This window comes from Homo sapiens, chromosome 16 (genome assembly GCF_000001405.40).
Source record: "Homo sapiens chromosome 16, GRCh38.p14 Primary Assembly".
Classification (NCBI taxonomy): domain Eukaryota; kingdom Metazoa; phylum Chordata; class Mammalia; order Primates; family Hominidae; genus Homo; species Homo sapiens.
The window spans coordinates 14,198,660-14,213,928 of NC_000016.10; the positions used below are offsets into that span (position 1 = coordinate 14,198,660).

General features: G+C 37.1%; 1 protein-coding gene and 2 pseudogenes across 33 annotated transcripts in view; 2 read left to right on the forward strand and 1 right to left on the reverse strand.

Moving 5' to 3' along the window:
- Positions 1-15,269, forward strand: part of MRTFB (myocardin related transcription factor B) — a 272,006-nt gene that overhangs the window by 203,886 nt on the left and 52,851 nt on the right. For all 33 annotated transcript variants that reach the window (XM_047434393.1, XM_047434392.1, XM_017023501.3 and 30 more), the window contains 3 exons: positions 11,584-11,649; positions 13,695-13,750; positions 14,886-14,961. In XM_047434393.1, the coding sequence (XP_047290349.1) occupies positions 11,584-11,649; positions 13,695-13,750; positions 14,886-14,961 (198 nt within the window). The remainder of the gene's footprint in view (positions 1-11,583; positions 11,650-13,694; positions 13,751-14,885; positions 14,962-15,269) is intronic.
- TVP23CP2 (TVP23C pseudogene 2) lies at positions 1,707-3,460 on the forward strand (annotated as a pseudogene).
- On the reverse strand, positions 5,721-5,764 carry LOC124903783 (uncharacterized; annotated as a pseudogene).

Genomic DNA, 15,269 nt, shown 5'->3' on the forward strand with positions numbered 1-15,269 from the left:
TCCCTTTACCCATCTCACTTGGAACAGATGACCTTTCTTTCAACTTCTCCAAAAAGTTAAAAGCCATTATCTGGGAACTCCCTAGATGTCCCAGACCAAAGCTGTAAAGCTTCTTGCAGCAGTCGCCAATCCTCATTGCCCTCCTATTATGATAGAGGAAGTGTCTCTTAATAAAGGATGTCTTTGTACATCTGTCCCCTTCCTACTGCCTTCAAGGTACCTGCTATCTCTTATGCTCTTGTTCATTCTCTCATTTGTATTCATTCTTATTTCTTTCTTCTCCCCTTCCCTCTCTTTTGCTCTTCATCAATTATAAACTTGCTCAATTATTTTCCAACTTCAAGTTTCACACCCTCAAGTTTTCACTTTCTCCCTTGCTCTTCCTGGGCAGCATCTTGAAAGCATGCTTACACTCTTGCCTCTCGTTCACACCTGACCTCCTCCAACCTGACTTACATCCATCACTTTACAAAAGTAGCTCCTCCAGGGATTAAAACAGCAGCATTTGACACACTTGATCATGCCTCCTTTAAAAACTCTTACACACACCCTCCTGGTTCCCTCCGCCTTTTTAGGCAGCTTCCTCTGCCTTCCTTTGTTGGATCTTCCTTCCCTATCTGACCTGTAACAGGGCTTCTATTTGTTGGCTTTCTTAAGAGCTCAGTCCCGGGCTTTCTTTTCCTCTCTATTTATATTCTCTACCTCAGCAAACTCCTGTGGCTTCAAATACTACATAAGTGACAACTTCCAAATTCCACTCTCTGCCAAGACCTTCTGAAATCGGGACCCATGTAGCCAACTGCCATTTTAACATCTCCACTTCCTATTCAAACATGCCCAAGACTGCGCTTCCTAATAGCCAGCATGCATTCCTTATCTCAGTAAATGGTCTACCCAGGTGCTTAAGCCTGAAACCCAGGATCATCTTTGTGACCTCTTCCTCCTTCAAACACACTGTCCACTCCCTTGCCATACACTGTTGATTTGATTCTAAATGTATCTCAAATCTATTCATTACATCTCTCAGCCATGATGGAGTTGAAGAAAAAATAAGTCCTGTGCTCAAAGTTTCTATCCTGGAACATCAGAAAATTCTATGAAATTTGGAAATAAATGTTTGGTTTCAAGAGAAAGCTTACCCTGAGCTTTTGAAAACCACGGTAAATATTTCCCCATTGAGTCAGAAACCCAGCCCCATTGTCCTCACTAATTCTTTTTATATCTTACAGTTCTTCACTGCTTATTAGTTATTTATATTATTTGACATGATATCACTAGTACCCTTAGGTGAGAGGAGGTAATCTTTGTTTCTGAATTTAAATTTACCTTAAAACTTAATGTTATACATTGTGGGGAAGGGGAAAAATAAAAAGGTACTATCTTACCTTGTAAGCTGGACTACAGATTGGCACAACCATTTGGAAGGCAAAGTGACCTTATCAAAGTTTTAAGGGCGTGTTCCATTATTAGAAATTTAATTTATAGGTATATCATCAAAGGATGCCCCCAAAATGAATGAGGATATTCATTATAGCATTATTTGTAATAGCAAAAAACCTGGTAGCTTAAGTATATGAATAATACATCCATATGTTAGATACAGCCTTTAAGAAAGAGCTAGATTCTGAGTTCCGACCCGGACCCGTACGCTGCTGCGCTGACGTGGCTCCCGGAAGTAAGGCTGGCGTAGGGCCGCCATGTTGCAGCAGGATAGTAATGATGACACTAAAGATGTTTCACTGTTTGATGCGGAAGAGGAGACGACTAATAGACCAAGAAAAGTCAAAATCAGACATCCAGTAGCATCGTTTTTCCACTTATTCTTTCGAGTCAGTGCAATCATCGTCTGTCTTCTCTGTGAATTGCTCAGCAGCAGCTTTATTACCTGTATGGTAACAATTATCTTGTTGTCATGTGACTTTTGGGCAGTGAAGAATATCACAGGTAGACTAATGGTTGGCCTACGTTGGTGGAATCACGTTGATGAAGATGGAAAGAGCCACTGGGTGTTTGAATCTAGAAAGGAGTCCTCTCAAGAGAATGAAACTGTGTCAGAGGCTGAATCAGGAATCTTTTGGTTGGGACTTGTTGCCTGTCCAGTGCTGTGGGTGATACTTGCCTTCAGTGCACGCTTCTCCTTCAGAGTAAAAAGTGGTTGGCGGTGGTTATCGTGGGTGTGGTGCTACAAGGTGCCAACCTGTATGGTTACCTCAGGTGTAAGGTGGGCAGCAGAAAGAATTTAACCAGCATGGCTACTTTATATTTTGGAAAGCAGTTTTTAAGACAAAACACTGGAGATGATCAGACTTCCTGAAGAGAGAAAGCTTATGTGCTTTGTTACATTGGGGAACAACTGAAGAGATAAGTCTTGACTTTGAACCTTTTAGAGCTTAGTCCATGTTGCAACGAGGAGTGTTGGCTTTGTTTTTCCACTTAAAAACTTTATTTATAAAAAGGAAAAATAGTTTTCGTATTAAGTTTTTATTTCCAGCAGTTGGGGCGAGAAAGTATATGTTGGCACTAGAAACATTGTCAAGATTTATTCTGTGGTGTAGGTATGCACATTCCATAGGTATGCACACGGCCATGTAATATCAGTATATCCCAAGTTAACGAAAGTGTTCATTTACATAGGCAATGGAGACCTTTGCATTGTGATCCATAGAACATAGGAGGATGTTCTTAGTGTGTCTCAAAGCTCTATATGTTTACATATTATTTCTGTAGATTGTTTTCAGGAGAAAGTTTTGCTTCCATGGTAAGAGTGAGCACTTTGGCTTCTGTGTAAGTTAGAAATAATTGTTAGTTTTTAATATGTACTTCCTGGGGAAATTTCTTAGATGTTTGCAAGCAAGTGAAAACAGTTAGGGCCAGTGGTACTAACTACTTTATAAAATTTTATTTTTATTTGTAAGAAGTCATCTACTTAAGGCCCAGTTAATATAAGTGGAATCATCGTAGTTTAAGGAATACCCAGAGATTGCTGCTGTTCTATTTATTTTACAGAAAGGATAGCTAGATTGAAAGCTCTTCAGTGGACCTTGAGCTAATAGAGCTTTTACCACTAAAAGAGCATTATTCTCATGTCATAATGAGAATAATCATTTACATACTTGGCATAATAAATGCCTAAAAGACATTTTATTTTCTGAATCTATCGTTTTCTTGCTATAATGGGGATATTGTAAATTATGCATTTGTATTAATGGTATTTCTTAAAGCAATCTATGTAACTGTAAACTAAACCAATCTACAAACTATTGTAGGCATCTGTAAATTCTGTCGTAGGTATTATAAACCTTGTTGAAGTCTTAATCAGCAGATTATGTTGTGAATGTATTTGTACATTGTTAAAATAGTTTTTAAGATTATTTGTTTAATTGAATAAGTGTCTTATTAGAGTGATAGCTTTGAAGGTGCAAAACTTTATATTTGTATAAAATTCTACTGTTTACAAGGCAAAAAAAAAAAAAAGAGCTAGATTCCTTGATATTCTTTAAGCAAATTACCAAACTATATAAATACTATTATCTGACACATATACTTCCTTTGCATATGTTATATATAACATTGGTGGACAATTCACAAGACATCTTCTCCGAGCCATAGAAATCTAACAGTGGTTACCTCTGGGGAGAATGACTGAAGGTCTGAAGTAGAATGGATTAACTTTCACTTTTCTTTTTAAAATCTCTTTTTATGTGCATGTATACTTTATTTTAACAAATAAAAGAAAAATGTATTATAAAACAGGGATTCTTAAATCAAGATACTAACAGTACACATAGTGTTCTGTTTGAGTCCCGGGCTCAGAAGGAGACCCTTCGTGATTTGACTTTCTCCCCTTTGACTGCAAAATAAACTATTCACAGCAGAGAACTATAAATTTGTGAATCTTTGTGGAACTAAAATTTTTAAAGCCTTATGGTTTTATATTTGGAGAAAAAAAGTGTTATTTTCACCAAGTGTCTAATGTAATAGTAGTGGTAATAATTAGTAATAGCCACCACCATTTTAAACATTTATTTTTAAGAGAAAGGAAAAGTAGTTCATCAGTCTTTTGCCCTTTCAGTACAATTGTTTTCAAGTCCTTACCTGATTAAACAAGTGCAATTCTACATTTGGCCACCACACTGCTATCTGATCAAACACTGAAACAAGTATTGAATGGAATCCAATTAATCCCTCCTGTATCCAAGCTCAAAAGATAATATGAGGAAGCTGGCTTTTCTAAACTGTCTTGTTTTTACAGGATCAGGCCTTCACTTAATACTATTTAAACAATGCATAATAAATGTTTGCCAAAGTCCAACCACTTCATTCTCTTAACTACCCTGACATCTGTTTGAAAAATAAACAACTGAAACTAGGATCTGTTTATTACCTAGTACTGACTTCAGAGTCAATACATAGTCAATTCTAGAGTATTCTTTAGTTTTCCATCTTCAGAGATGGTTCATCTAATCCTCACTTGACTGCTCAGGCTTTTTTTTTTCACTCCTCATGATCCTAAAGTTTATTCTGTCCATTGTCCTGTAATTAAGTAATATACATTGGAGCTTCTCTCTAACTCACAGATAGCTGTTCATCACCTCTCCCCTCTCCCCTTTCCCACCCTCCTTCATACCCATAACTGAAATCCAGCTGTTCGTAAAGAATTTCCAAGACCATGGCTGCCTGCCATTATGCTCCCCAGAAAGTGTCATTTTTGCATTGTTTTGGTAACATACAGTCCTCTATGTCCCACTGAAAACTCAGGGCCAGAGCCATGCTTTGCCTCGGCTTGCTCAACTCAAACTAAACTGCTCTTTGTTATTAATATGCTGCATACAATGTGTTGTTTCCTTTAGGGGGAAAAGGCACTTTAATTACATCATATTAAGACAACATTTCACACTTTGGGAGGCCAACGCGGATGGAACACTTGAGGCCAGGAGTTGGAGACCAGCCTGGTCAACATAGGAAAACCCCGTCTCTATTAAAAATACAACAGATTAGCCGGGCATGGTGGTACACAACTTGTAATCCCAGCTACTCAGGAAGCTGAGGCACAAGAATCACTTGAACCCAGGAGACAGAGGTTGCAGGGAGCTGAGATCAGACCACTGCACTCCAGCCTGGGCGACAGAGGAAGACTCTGTCTCGAAAAAAAAAAAAAAAAAAAAAAAAATTTCAACATTCTACTTACGGAAACAAAAGAGGAAAGACATATCTTGGTTCAAAAAGCATGTGAAATTTTTGAATTAGGGTTATAAGTATCACATGAAAGAAGTTATTGTATTTTAAAGGTTTTGTTTTGTGTGTTTATTTGTTTGTTTGAGACAGAGTTCTTGCTCTATTGCCCAGGCTTGAGTGCCGTGGTACAATCATAGCTCACTGTATAGCCTCGAACTCCTGGGCTCAAGTGATCCTCCTACCTCAGAGCCTCCCAAGTAGCTGGGACTACAGGTGTGTGCTACCATGCCAGCTAATTTTTTTTATTTTTTATTTTTCTTTGGTAGAGACAGGGTCTCACTATGTTGCCCAGGCTGTTCTCAAACTCCTGGTCTCAAGCCATCCTCCCTCTTCAGCCTCCCCAAACACTGGGATTACAGGCATGAAGCACCGAGTTTGGCCTTACAGTTTTTTTATATTGGAAACGAATCTTAAAATTTTGTTCTAAAAGCACTCTAAACCATTTAAGAAGCAGGGGAAAGGAACTAAAAGAAGATACTTTTTTTTATGGAAAACCCGCTAGACAAATTCTAAAAGAGCTGTAACACTTAAGATACTTTATATCTAAACTACCATATTGCTGGGAATGACATTTTCAGTTTATCATTGGATAAGCTACCTTTCATTTTTTTGGAATTGGGATTAAAATCAAATTTTTACTTTTCTTGCATAAAAGTAGAGCAAATTCAAAACACCTCTATTGACATAATATTGTTTTTATCTGTTGTGATAAGGAATAAGGATTAAGTAAAAATTTCAAAATTATACACCCTTTTCTCCTTATTGAAATGTAATAGAAAACTGTAAATGTTAGCCCTAAGAGATGAAAGATCATAATTCAATAAATTTTTTTCTTTAAATGAAATAGCCATCTGTATCCATGTTCACATATGTCTGCTACAATTGCAAAAGACAATGGTTAATACGTGAGGAAATTAGTCTCATTACTTTATGATCATGCTTTATATATATTACATTGGAATAGTCTTCCTTTTAAGAATTCAAATTAAGGGAATAACTGAAATGAAGAATTAACTTTATACACAAAAATTGCACCACAGCATTATTTATAGTTAAAAAATTGGAAACAACCTAAGTGATAAACAGGGACTATTTAGTAAACTATGCCATATCCACCTAACAGAGTATTTTATGTAGCCACTAAAATAATAAGAATATTTATCATTGTAGTTACAGAGTGATCGGAGTATGTAGAAGCAGAGAATCAAAATCTATGCTTAAAGACAGAGGAAATACATGGTAACTCTAGTTGTGTCTCTCTGGATGATGATATTATCGGTGATTTTCTTTTTTAGTTTTTTTATCCTACTGTTTTCTATTTCCATATTTTGTGTAATGAACATATTTGGCTCCTATCATGTGTGAAAAGATTTTTTTTAATAAAAATGCCTGGGACCCAGGCTAGTTAGGAAAGATGGGATACATACAGTAAGTAAATGGATTTATAACCTCATCTCCCTCCATCCGTGAGGGTGCTTTGCCTGCCTCTTGTGAGTTTTGTCATCTGGAAATATACAGCTCTTGTAGAATTGTCAACTTGGGGTAAATGTTTTGCACAGAGAATACAATGCTACCTGTATGAGATATGCTTTTTTATATCTGTCCCCCTTTTTTGATAAAATGAAACAGGTTTACACCTTGTTTTAAACCATGATTCTAAATTTCAGGACTTCTTAGGACCATGTGTTGGATTGTTTAGCCTTTACCTTTTTCAAAAATAATATTCTTTGAAAATGTTCAAATGTGAGCAATTGTAACATGAAGTCTGTTTATCTTTATTACTTATGTCCTTTGTTTCTGAAAGGATGTACACACTCAGTGTTTTGAACTGTTTAGTCCCCTGAGGATTCTATAGTTTGTACGTGTATCCTTTTCTTGCATGATGGCCATGGAAGATACTGTTACTCAACTTACTAAGAAGACGGAGGCTATGATGTCAACCCAATAGTATGGTTCATCTACTCAGCAAGGCACCGGGAGAGAATGCTCTTGGTTTCAGTTTTGACACATGAGGCCATTGCCAGACTGCCTCTGCTGCAGGAAAACAGTACCAGGCCAGTGTCTAGTCTTTGGTTGCAGCTACAGATATGAAATCTTGTCAACACAAGCACAATTTGTCAGGCAGTTGTGCAAGGCTGAGTGACATTCAGTGGTCTAAGCCTTTTTTCCCCTCCATGCAGATATAAACATGGAGGGTAAGCATGGAGGCTGAAAAGGGAGGAAGGAGGTCTCCAGGCTTAATCCATGAAGGTCCCAGGAAAACTTGATAAAGCATTCCTGATCCCACAACCGTGAATGCCTCTCTGATCATTAGAAGAGTCTGGTCCTCTGTTTTCAGGGTCCCTTACCCCTTCCTCAGTCGTGGATAAGCACCAGTACATTCTGCCTGACTTCTGTGTCTCATGACAATTAAGCTGTCTATCATTCAAGCCATGTTCTTCCTGGATGGTCTCTGTCTAAGGTGCAGATATCTGCTGTGACTTATACATTAATTTTGTTAGTAATTTGATGAACAGAAGTTCTGAAAGGAAGTTTGATATCTGCCAAAATTATAAGTCTATACCTATATGATCTGTACTTTTTATAAGTAGTAGTTGCTCTCAGAATAGCCTGTGTCAATTGTGAATGACTGGTTTTAGTTGACATCAACAAGTAATACTGTAATTGTGTGTTTTTGTTTTGAGACAGAGTCTCGCTCTGTTGCCCAGGCTTGAGTGCAATGGCACGATCTCGGCTCACTGGGTTCAAACGATTCTTCTGCCTCAGCCTGCTGAGTAGCTGGGATTACAGGCACCTGCCACCTCGCCTGGCTAGTTTTTATATTTTCAGTGGAGACGGGTTTCACCATGTTGGCCAGGCTAGTCTCAAACTCCTGAGCTCCAATGATCTGCCAGTCTCGTCCCGGCCTCCCAAAGTATAATTGTGTTTTAATACTACCCAAAGTAGCAATGTACCTGATCTCTTGCTAGAACATAGTGCCTCATATTCAATATAATATGTGCAGTAGTGTCCACCTATGGGTGCAGATAAAAGCTAAAAAAAAAAAAAACTGGGTAATCAACATACTTAACAAAATGGCTAGTTACTTGCAATTCTGCCTCCCCTTCCATTCATGTTCTTCCTAACGTCGCTTAAAAAAGATCTTCCTTTCACTGCTACTGCTGCTGCTCTTTCCCATGGATTTGTACCCCATGCAGTACCCAGACACCTAACAGATATGCTCTAAATAAATGAATGTGCCTGGGGGAGGCCGATGGCCACAGCTGCTTTGAATAATACTTGTAGTGGGAGGTTCTTGCTTCTTGGGAAAGTTTTATAGGCAATGATGAGAGCGTTAATTGGGGAAATTATTCTCCTACCTTCAAGCAGTATAAGTAGGGTTGTTTGGTTGCTTGTTTGGCCACATAGAAAATGGGATAGAAAACACAAATGTTTGTGTGTGTTGTTTTATTTTAATAATTGGTGGTTGGTGTCTACGATATTGTGAATATAATTAGAAATGTATATGTGTTCTTTGTCTTGGGTTTCTGGCACAGAACTCCTAAAGTTCTCCTAAATGTCCTGAGTAATAGGAGCATCATTTGTTATACATTTGGTCTTAGTCCCCAGTTCTTGACAAAGAGCTTCTTTCTAAGATCCTTGGACTCTCTGGAGTGATGAGAGTGGTTTTTGTATGCTACTGAGATGACAGGTAGTTGAAGGTCTTTAGGTAGCTTCCAGATAGGGGCTGATCACCAGAAAGACCAAGGCATGGCCAGAGGAAAGGTGGTATACCTAGAGAGGGCATGGGAGCTCTGTGCCCCTTCTCCCATACCATGCCCTATGTGTCTCTTCCATTTGGCTATCCCTGAGTTGTATCCTTTAGAATAAACTACTAATAATAGGTAAAGTGCCTTCCTGAGTTCTGTGAGCTGTTCTAGCAAATTATCAAACCTGGGGAGGGGATTATGGGAACCTCCCAACTTTATAACTCATTGGTCAGAAGTCTGAGTGGCTTGGCCTAACAATTGGCATCTGAAGTGAGGGCAGTCTCTTGGGATGGAGCCCTTTAACTTGTAGGATCTGACACTAACTCCAGGTACCTAGTGTCAGAATTGAATCATTGGACACCCAGTTGGGCATCCAGAATTGGAGAATTGGTTGGTATGAGGGAAAAGCCCACACATCTGGTGTCAGAAGTGTTGGAAATAGAAACAGATCAGAATGACACGCATCCGTGTTGTATGTTACCCTCATGGTAGCAGGTACCTTTCTTTCCATGTTAGCATGAAAGTGTGATTTCTGGTGATAGATGATACAGCTGACAGGACTGCTGTCCTGGTAAATGAAGGCACCTGAAATGACCAATGTACAATCAAGAGATGCTTCCAGGACTAACCAGCTGTTGTCATCAGAGTGTTGGTTTGCAAATCAAGTTGTTGCAGATGTATGCATCATTCAAAGATGCCATTCACCCAAAAAACGTATTGTGTCTGATAGATTTGTCTCACAAATGTGTGCTTTCATTGTTTGGTTTTTGTTTTAAACCAAAAAGGGGGTGGTTGATATTTTCATTACTCTTTCTTTTTTACTCTTTTGAGGATTCCCTTGGGAGAAAGGAAAGATTTTCCTGCTAGAGATTCTCCAACAGACATGGACCACCATGTTCCAGAAGTATCAACCTTTGATCTGGAGAACTGTTCTAACCCTTTTCTCCTCTCAGTTGTCTTTTTCTTGAGATTCTGCTTCTTGAATATGATTATCTTAAATGCAGACAAGCATTTACTTTAGCATTCCTAGAAGAATGTTAAAGTACGCAGGTCTTTGGGTGCTGTAAGATGCACAGGTCAGCTCCTTGGTTATTTTGTTCTTAGTAAAGTACAGTGGGAACATACTATCCTCAATCAACTTAGGGAAAAGATCTTTCTGTTAGCGCACAATTGATTGAAAGTATCACAGAACATCTTAATGTCAGGAATGTGCATATCTTTTTTAAAGAAATTTTATTTCTTTTGCTTTGTGTAGCAGAATCTTGTCAGTTGCTTCAGTTCTAAATAGGCTATCAATGAAGTTTTGTGATCCTGTGGCCCCAAACCAAACAAAAACCCAAACTTATTTCTGTATCTAATAGATGATGACATTCATATCAAACAATGATAAAATATTTTTAAAAGCCATGTGACAGCTTAGATTCTTTCTGAACTTTACCTAAGACTGTGCTCTGCTCTGCAGTCAGCGCAAGACCAACTGAAAAACAAGGGATGGAGGCCACGTGCCTGCGTCTGCAGGCCTCAAGGTTTTATTGCAAGGAGGAGACACCACGTGCACTGCATTTGAGCCTCTCATTCCAGCCATCACCACTCACTAGAAAATTGTGTCTTCTCTTCCCACCATTTAAGTAAGAAAGGCACATAAGTAATTTTTTTAAGCATATTGACAACCATTAAGCAGACTCTTAATCACTCTAATCTTGGTTTTCATCCATGGTTTGAAACAAAAATCAAAATGGCAACTTAAAATCACAGTGGAAACTGGTTTGAATGTAAAGCAAAGCAAGAAAAATATTTTTCAGAGTCACCTCCTGTATTCCCCTTATTTTGAAATAGTCTCATTTTCCAGATAAAAATATGTAGATGCTTATAAAAGGAATCTGCTTGAGAAAACTAGAAAAAAATTAATTTTTTATTAAATTTGGCAAACTGGATGTCTCCATTTCATAATGTATATCTTGTTCTCTGCCAGTTCTAATAATTTACTCTTTTATTAAAATAATAAGGTGTCAACTGATTTGTGACTTTCTTAGAACTTATAGAGTGAGATACATGGTATCATGTTTGTGCAAAGATTACTAAACTTTAAATTCCTAATTTAGAAATTTCCCTTTGAGTCATTAGGAATATCTCATAGGTCTAATTTTTATTATGCAAGCAGCCTTCCTTAAAGCCACTTATAGTCAGTCTTAAAATAAGTTTTTGCTATTAATTTGTTTTTAAAAAACTAAGATGTGTCAAAGAATTTCACGTCTCTTATTTCTATAAATTAGATTTATTAGCAAGTCTTAATATATAAGCCAACTATTTTTATTTTCTTGAGTACTATGAATGTTTTAAACAACAAATACATAGCTTTGGTCATCAAAATAGGATAAACCAAAAAATTTATACTGTGTAAACTTTAGTGTTCACTAAACAGGCAGAAATTACAAAATAATTTTCCTTTTACAACTTACGTGGTGCCAGGTAATATCCTTCTTTTTAATTGTGAAATAGAAGATGCTTGATAAAGCTTAATTGCATCTCCTCTGGAATCACATAAATCGGATCCCACAGTTGCCGATAAACTCCAATGGTGATTATTTCCTTTTCACAGTGCTCCAGCTGAGGCTGCAACAAAGGAGGACGAGAGAACAACTAGTGGACCAGGGCATCATGCCACGTAAGATTTATACCATCACTGCCATCCCTAACGTGACAGAACATGACGGGCGTGTCCAAGAAGAGCCTGCATCTTGCTCTGCTTTCAGTTGTATCCATTTAATCAACAAACAATTACCAAATGAATTTCCAAGGAAAAATCAGGCACCTAAGTGAATCATTTAGAATACATTTTAAAAACCAGATGCAGTTTAAAAGAGGAACTTGAATTTTATATTACACACAGAACACCTTTACACTGTAATTAGGCTAACATTCATTCTTTCTTTAAACTTTAATATTTGTTTTAGTTTTGAAATGACTAAAGTAATCACTATACTAATGGATTTGAAATTCATTAGACTTGCCAAAAAACATAAAATTAATTTACAATTTTTACTTAGACTTATTTAGTTCCAGTTAATTATATTTAATGCTATGCTATGATCTGTGTACAGTAATTAAATGTATCTCAGTTACAGGACTGATAAACATTCCATTTATAATTCATATTTTTGTCTCAAGTACAGTTATTTCCCTTCTATCCCTAGGGTTTGTTCCTTTCAGAAATTTTTGAGAGTTGATTAATTTTAGAATGTTTGTTCTAGTTGTTTCTTTACCTTTAGTCACCAAGTTTGGAGGTGGTTTTATATTTTAGTGGGGAGGAGTGGCTGTTTTGTATAGGCCATTAGGATTGTGTATCTGGATTTTGTGTAAAAATGGACCTTTCCAAGAGGTAACTTATTCAGTTTCAAAACACTAGAAAGAAATTACAGCATTAATTTATGCTTTCCAGTCTTCTGAATCATGGCTATGATAAACTGCTTTCTTGGTTTATGATATGGAATGATTTTTCTCTTTAGTAGATATTTTTCCCAGTAAAACCTTTTTTTTCTGGACTACTATTGAGAATCTAAATATTTTAAATCTAGCATTGTGATAGGCAAAAGGTGCTTTGATAATCTGCCAGATTTCTCCACCACCACCACCACCACATCCCTGACTATGAACCAACTAATCAAAGAGGATCAAATTATGATATTTAAGACACCATTGCTAGGCCAGCTCTAATCTGCTTTCGGGTGCTGGTCCTCAGCCAAACCTGATTGGACTGGGCTCCTGGGAGTCTTTGTGGTGCTTCATGTGCCAGAGCTGAAAATAATGCTGTAAGAGCTGATTGGTCAAGTCTTGCAGGTGACAGCCCAAGGAATCCCAGTCCTCTATCCCATCCACTCATCTGACTGCCCATGCTTGGAAGTGCAGGGTGTTACCAGGCAATAGTGGACATATGCAGACAAGATTTTGCAAAGATAATTGATAGAATACGGTTGTAGGTGACGATTTGGTAAGCACTGCTTACCCTCACACTAGGATTCCAGAATATTGGATTTACCAGCAGGTAGCATATTAAGGAGTCACTGTGTCTTTACTGTGAGTTGCACTGTGGTATGGTAGAAAGAGCATGAACCCTTCAAATTCAAAATTCTAGATTTAAATACCACTTTGACCACCATCTGGTTGTATGGCCTCAAGAATTCACTTAACTTCTTTGAGCCTTTCACCTCCTTGCAAGGTTATTGCAGGGACCAACAGCAACATAGCCATGGTTAAGCACAGAGCCCATTACGGGTTCTAAATAAATGATACCTCAAATCTGTTGGACACAAAGTGCAGTGTGATGTTCAAGGTTACATCACTCCCAAGGACATACGGACTTTTTCTATAGCTTATATGACCATTAAGAGCAAAGACTCATCAAGGAGTCATCAGACAGTCCCCTCGGCAATGGAGATTTGCTATGAGTAGTCAGAACTAGTCTGAACTGATATTTGCATTGTCATTTTGTATACAATCGTGTTTTAAATGTCTACTTTATTTGTGAAATACATAATTTTTATCCTGTAACATTTAAGATTTCAAATTTTGCAGGTCTCCTAATGGAACTGGTAAATTAATGGAACTGTAGTTGTGATCTGTTAATAATAGGGTTATCACCATGGTATACTATAACATTGGACTGAAGTATGAACTCTATTTATACTGTGGAAACCATTTCTTTTCTCACAGCTTTGAAGAGCCCAGCGGCATTCCATGAACAGATAAAAAGCTTGGAACGAGCCAGAGTAAGACATTTCACTTTAAAATGTTCTACTTCTCTCTCCTTCTCTCCTCTCTTCTAAAATACCTGTGTACAAGTAGCAGTGTTACTCCTAAATATGTCAATAGAGAAAAAATAGTGTATTTTCAGGATACATGGCATAGAGAATATTTACTCTGGGATAGTTTGATCTGGAGGTTTGCAGAAAATACATGACATTCAAATTTTGTTCTTTTAAAGCCAGTAACTAGTTTTGTACAAAAAGAACAAATCATACTTCTTCGCTTTCTTGCTCTCAGAGCATAACAACAGTTTTTAGAGGCATAAGAGGGGGTAATTCTGTCATTTGTTACCCCTACAGAGAGACAGCCAAGGATGTGGTGACACCAGATCCTTAGATGATTTCCCTACTGGGTCTTTGTTACCTGTACATTTGACCAACGGTAGGGGAAGATGGCTAAATCAGAAAACGTTGCTACATTCAACTCTGCTTTATTCTTTAAGATGGCACCATCATACTTGCACGTGATAATTGTTAAGATTTTTCTTTAAAAATGCCATTATGAATATTCATTCATTTTGTTTTGGGGAAAATTTCTATCATGCAACATGAAAATAAACATATTCCAAAATTTTCTTAAGAATTTTTCTAGAATGCAATAATGATTTCTTACAGTCTTATAAAACCTGTATGAAGGCTTTCTTCCTTAAGAGTTGAATACATTTCTAATTAAGAAAATCTGATCAAGGATATGAACTTACCAAAGAAAACACATTAAGATTTTTAGGAAATTTGTTATCTAGGTGGATTTTTACTGGACCTGAAGTATAGATTTTATTGAGTTTAGATATTTAAGTGATTTAAATCCTATGTTTATTAAAAAACTATCTTCAAAACACGACCTTTCGATGTTCATAAGTTTTAAAAGTTTATAAATGCTTAGTTTATACCAACATACTCTTCAAGTCTGTGTACAATTTTGAAGGCTACAGTTTAAATCATGTGTTGGATACTAGTTTTTCTAAGTGCTAATTTCTACTCTTCGTCTCAAACACATGACCATAAGCGTATCGTTTATTTAAATGGAATACCTTAAAGAACATTTAAAACCACAATAAATAATAAATGATTTATGGTAAGACTTTTTTTCTTTTTAAAGACTGAAAACTTTTTGAAACACAAGATTCGGAGTCGACCAGATCGTTCTGAACTTGTCAGGATGCACATTTTAGAAGGTAAAGGATTTATTTCTTCTTAATCTGCTGTATTTTTTCAAGAAAAGAAGTGAGAATTTCCACCATTTCTGTTTATTCCCATTTTAATAACTTTTTAACCCACAGCCTTACTTCCTCCAAACTGGATAGCAACATGAAGACCCAAAACTAAAACATGTTAGATACACAGGGAAGGTTTGATTCTTCACATAACCAATTAATGGACTAACACTTCCACACCAGCTGGTACCACAGATGCCTCTACCATACTGTTCCACTAAAAAAATTGGGGTCCAGAGGATTTCTTTATCAGTGAGGGACATGTATCC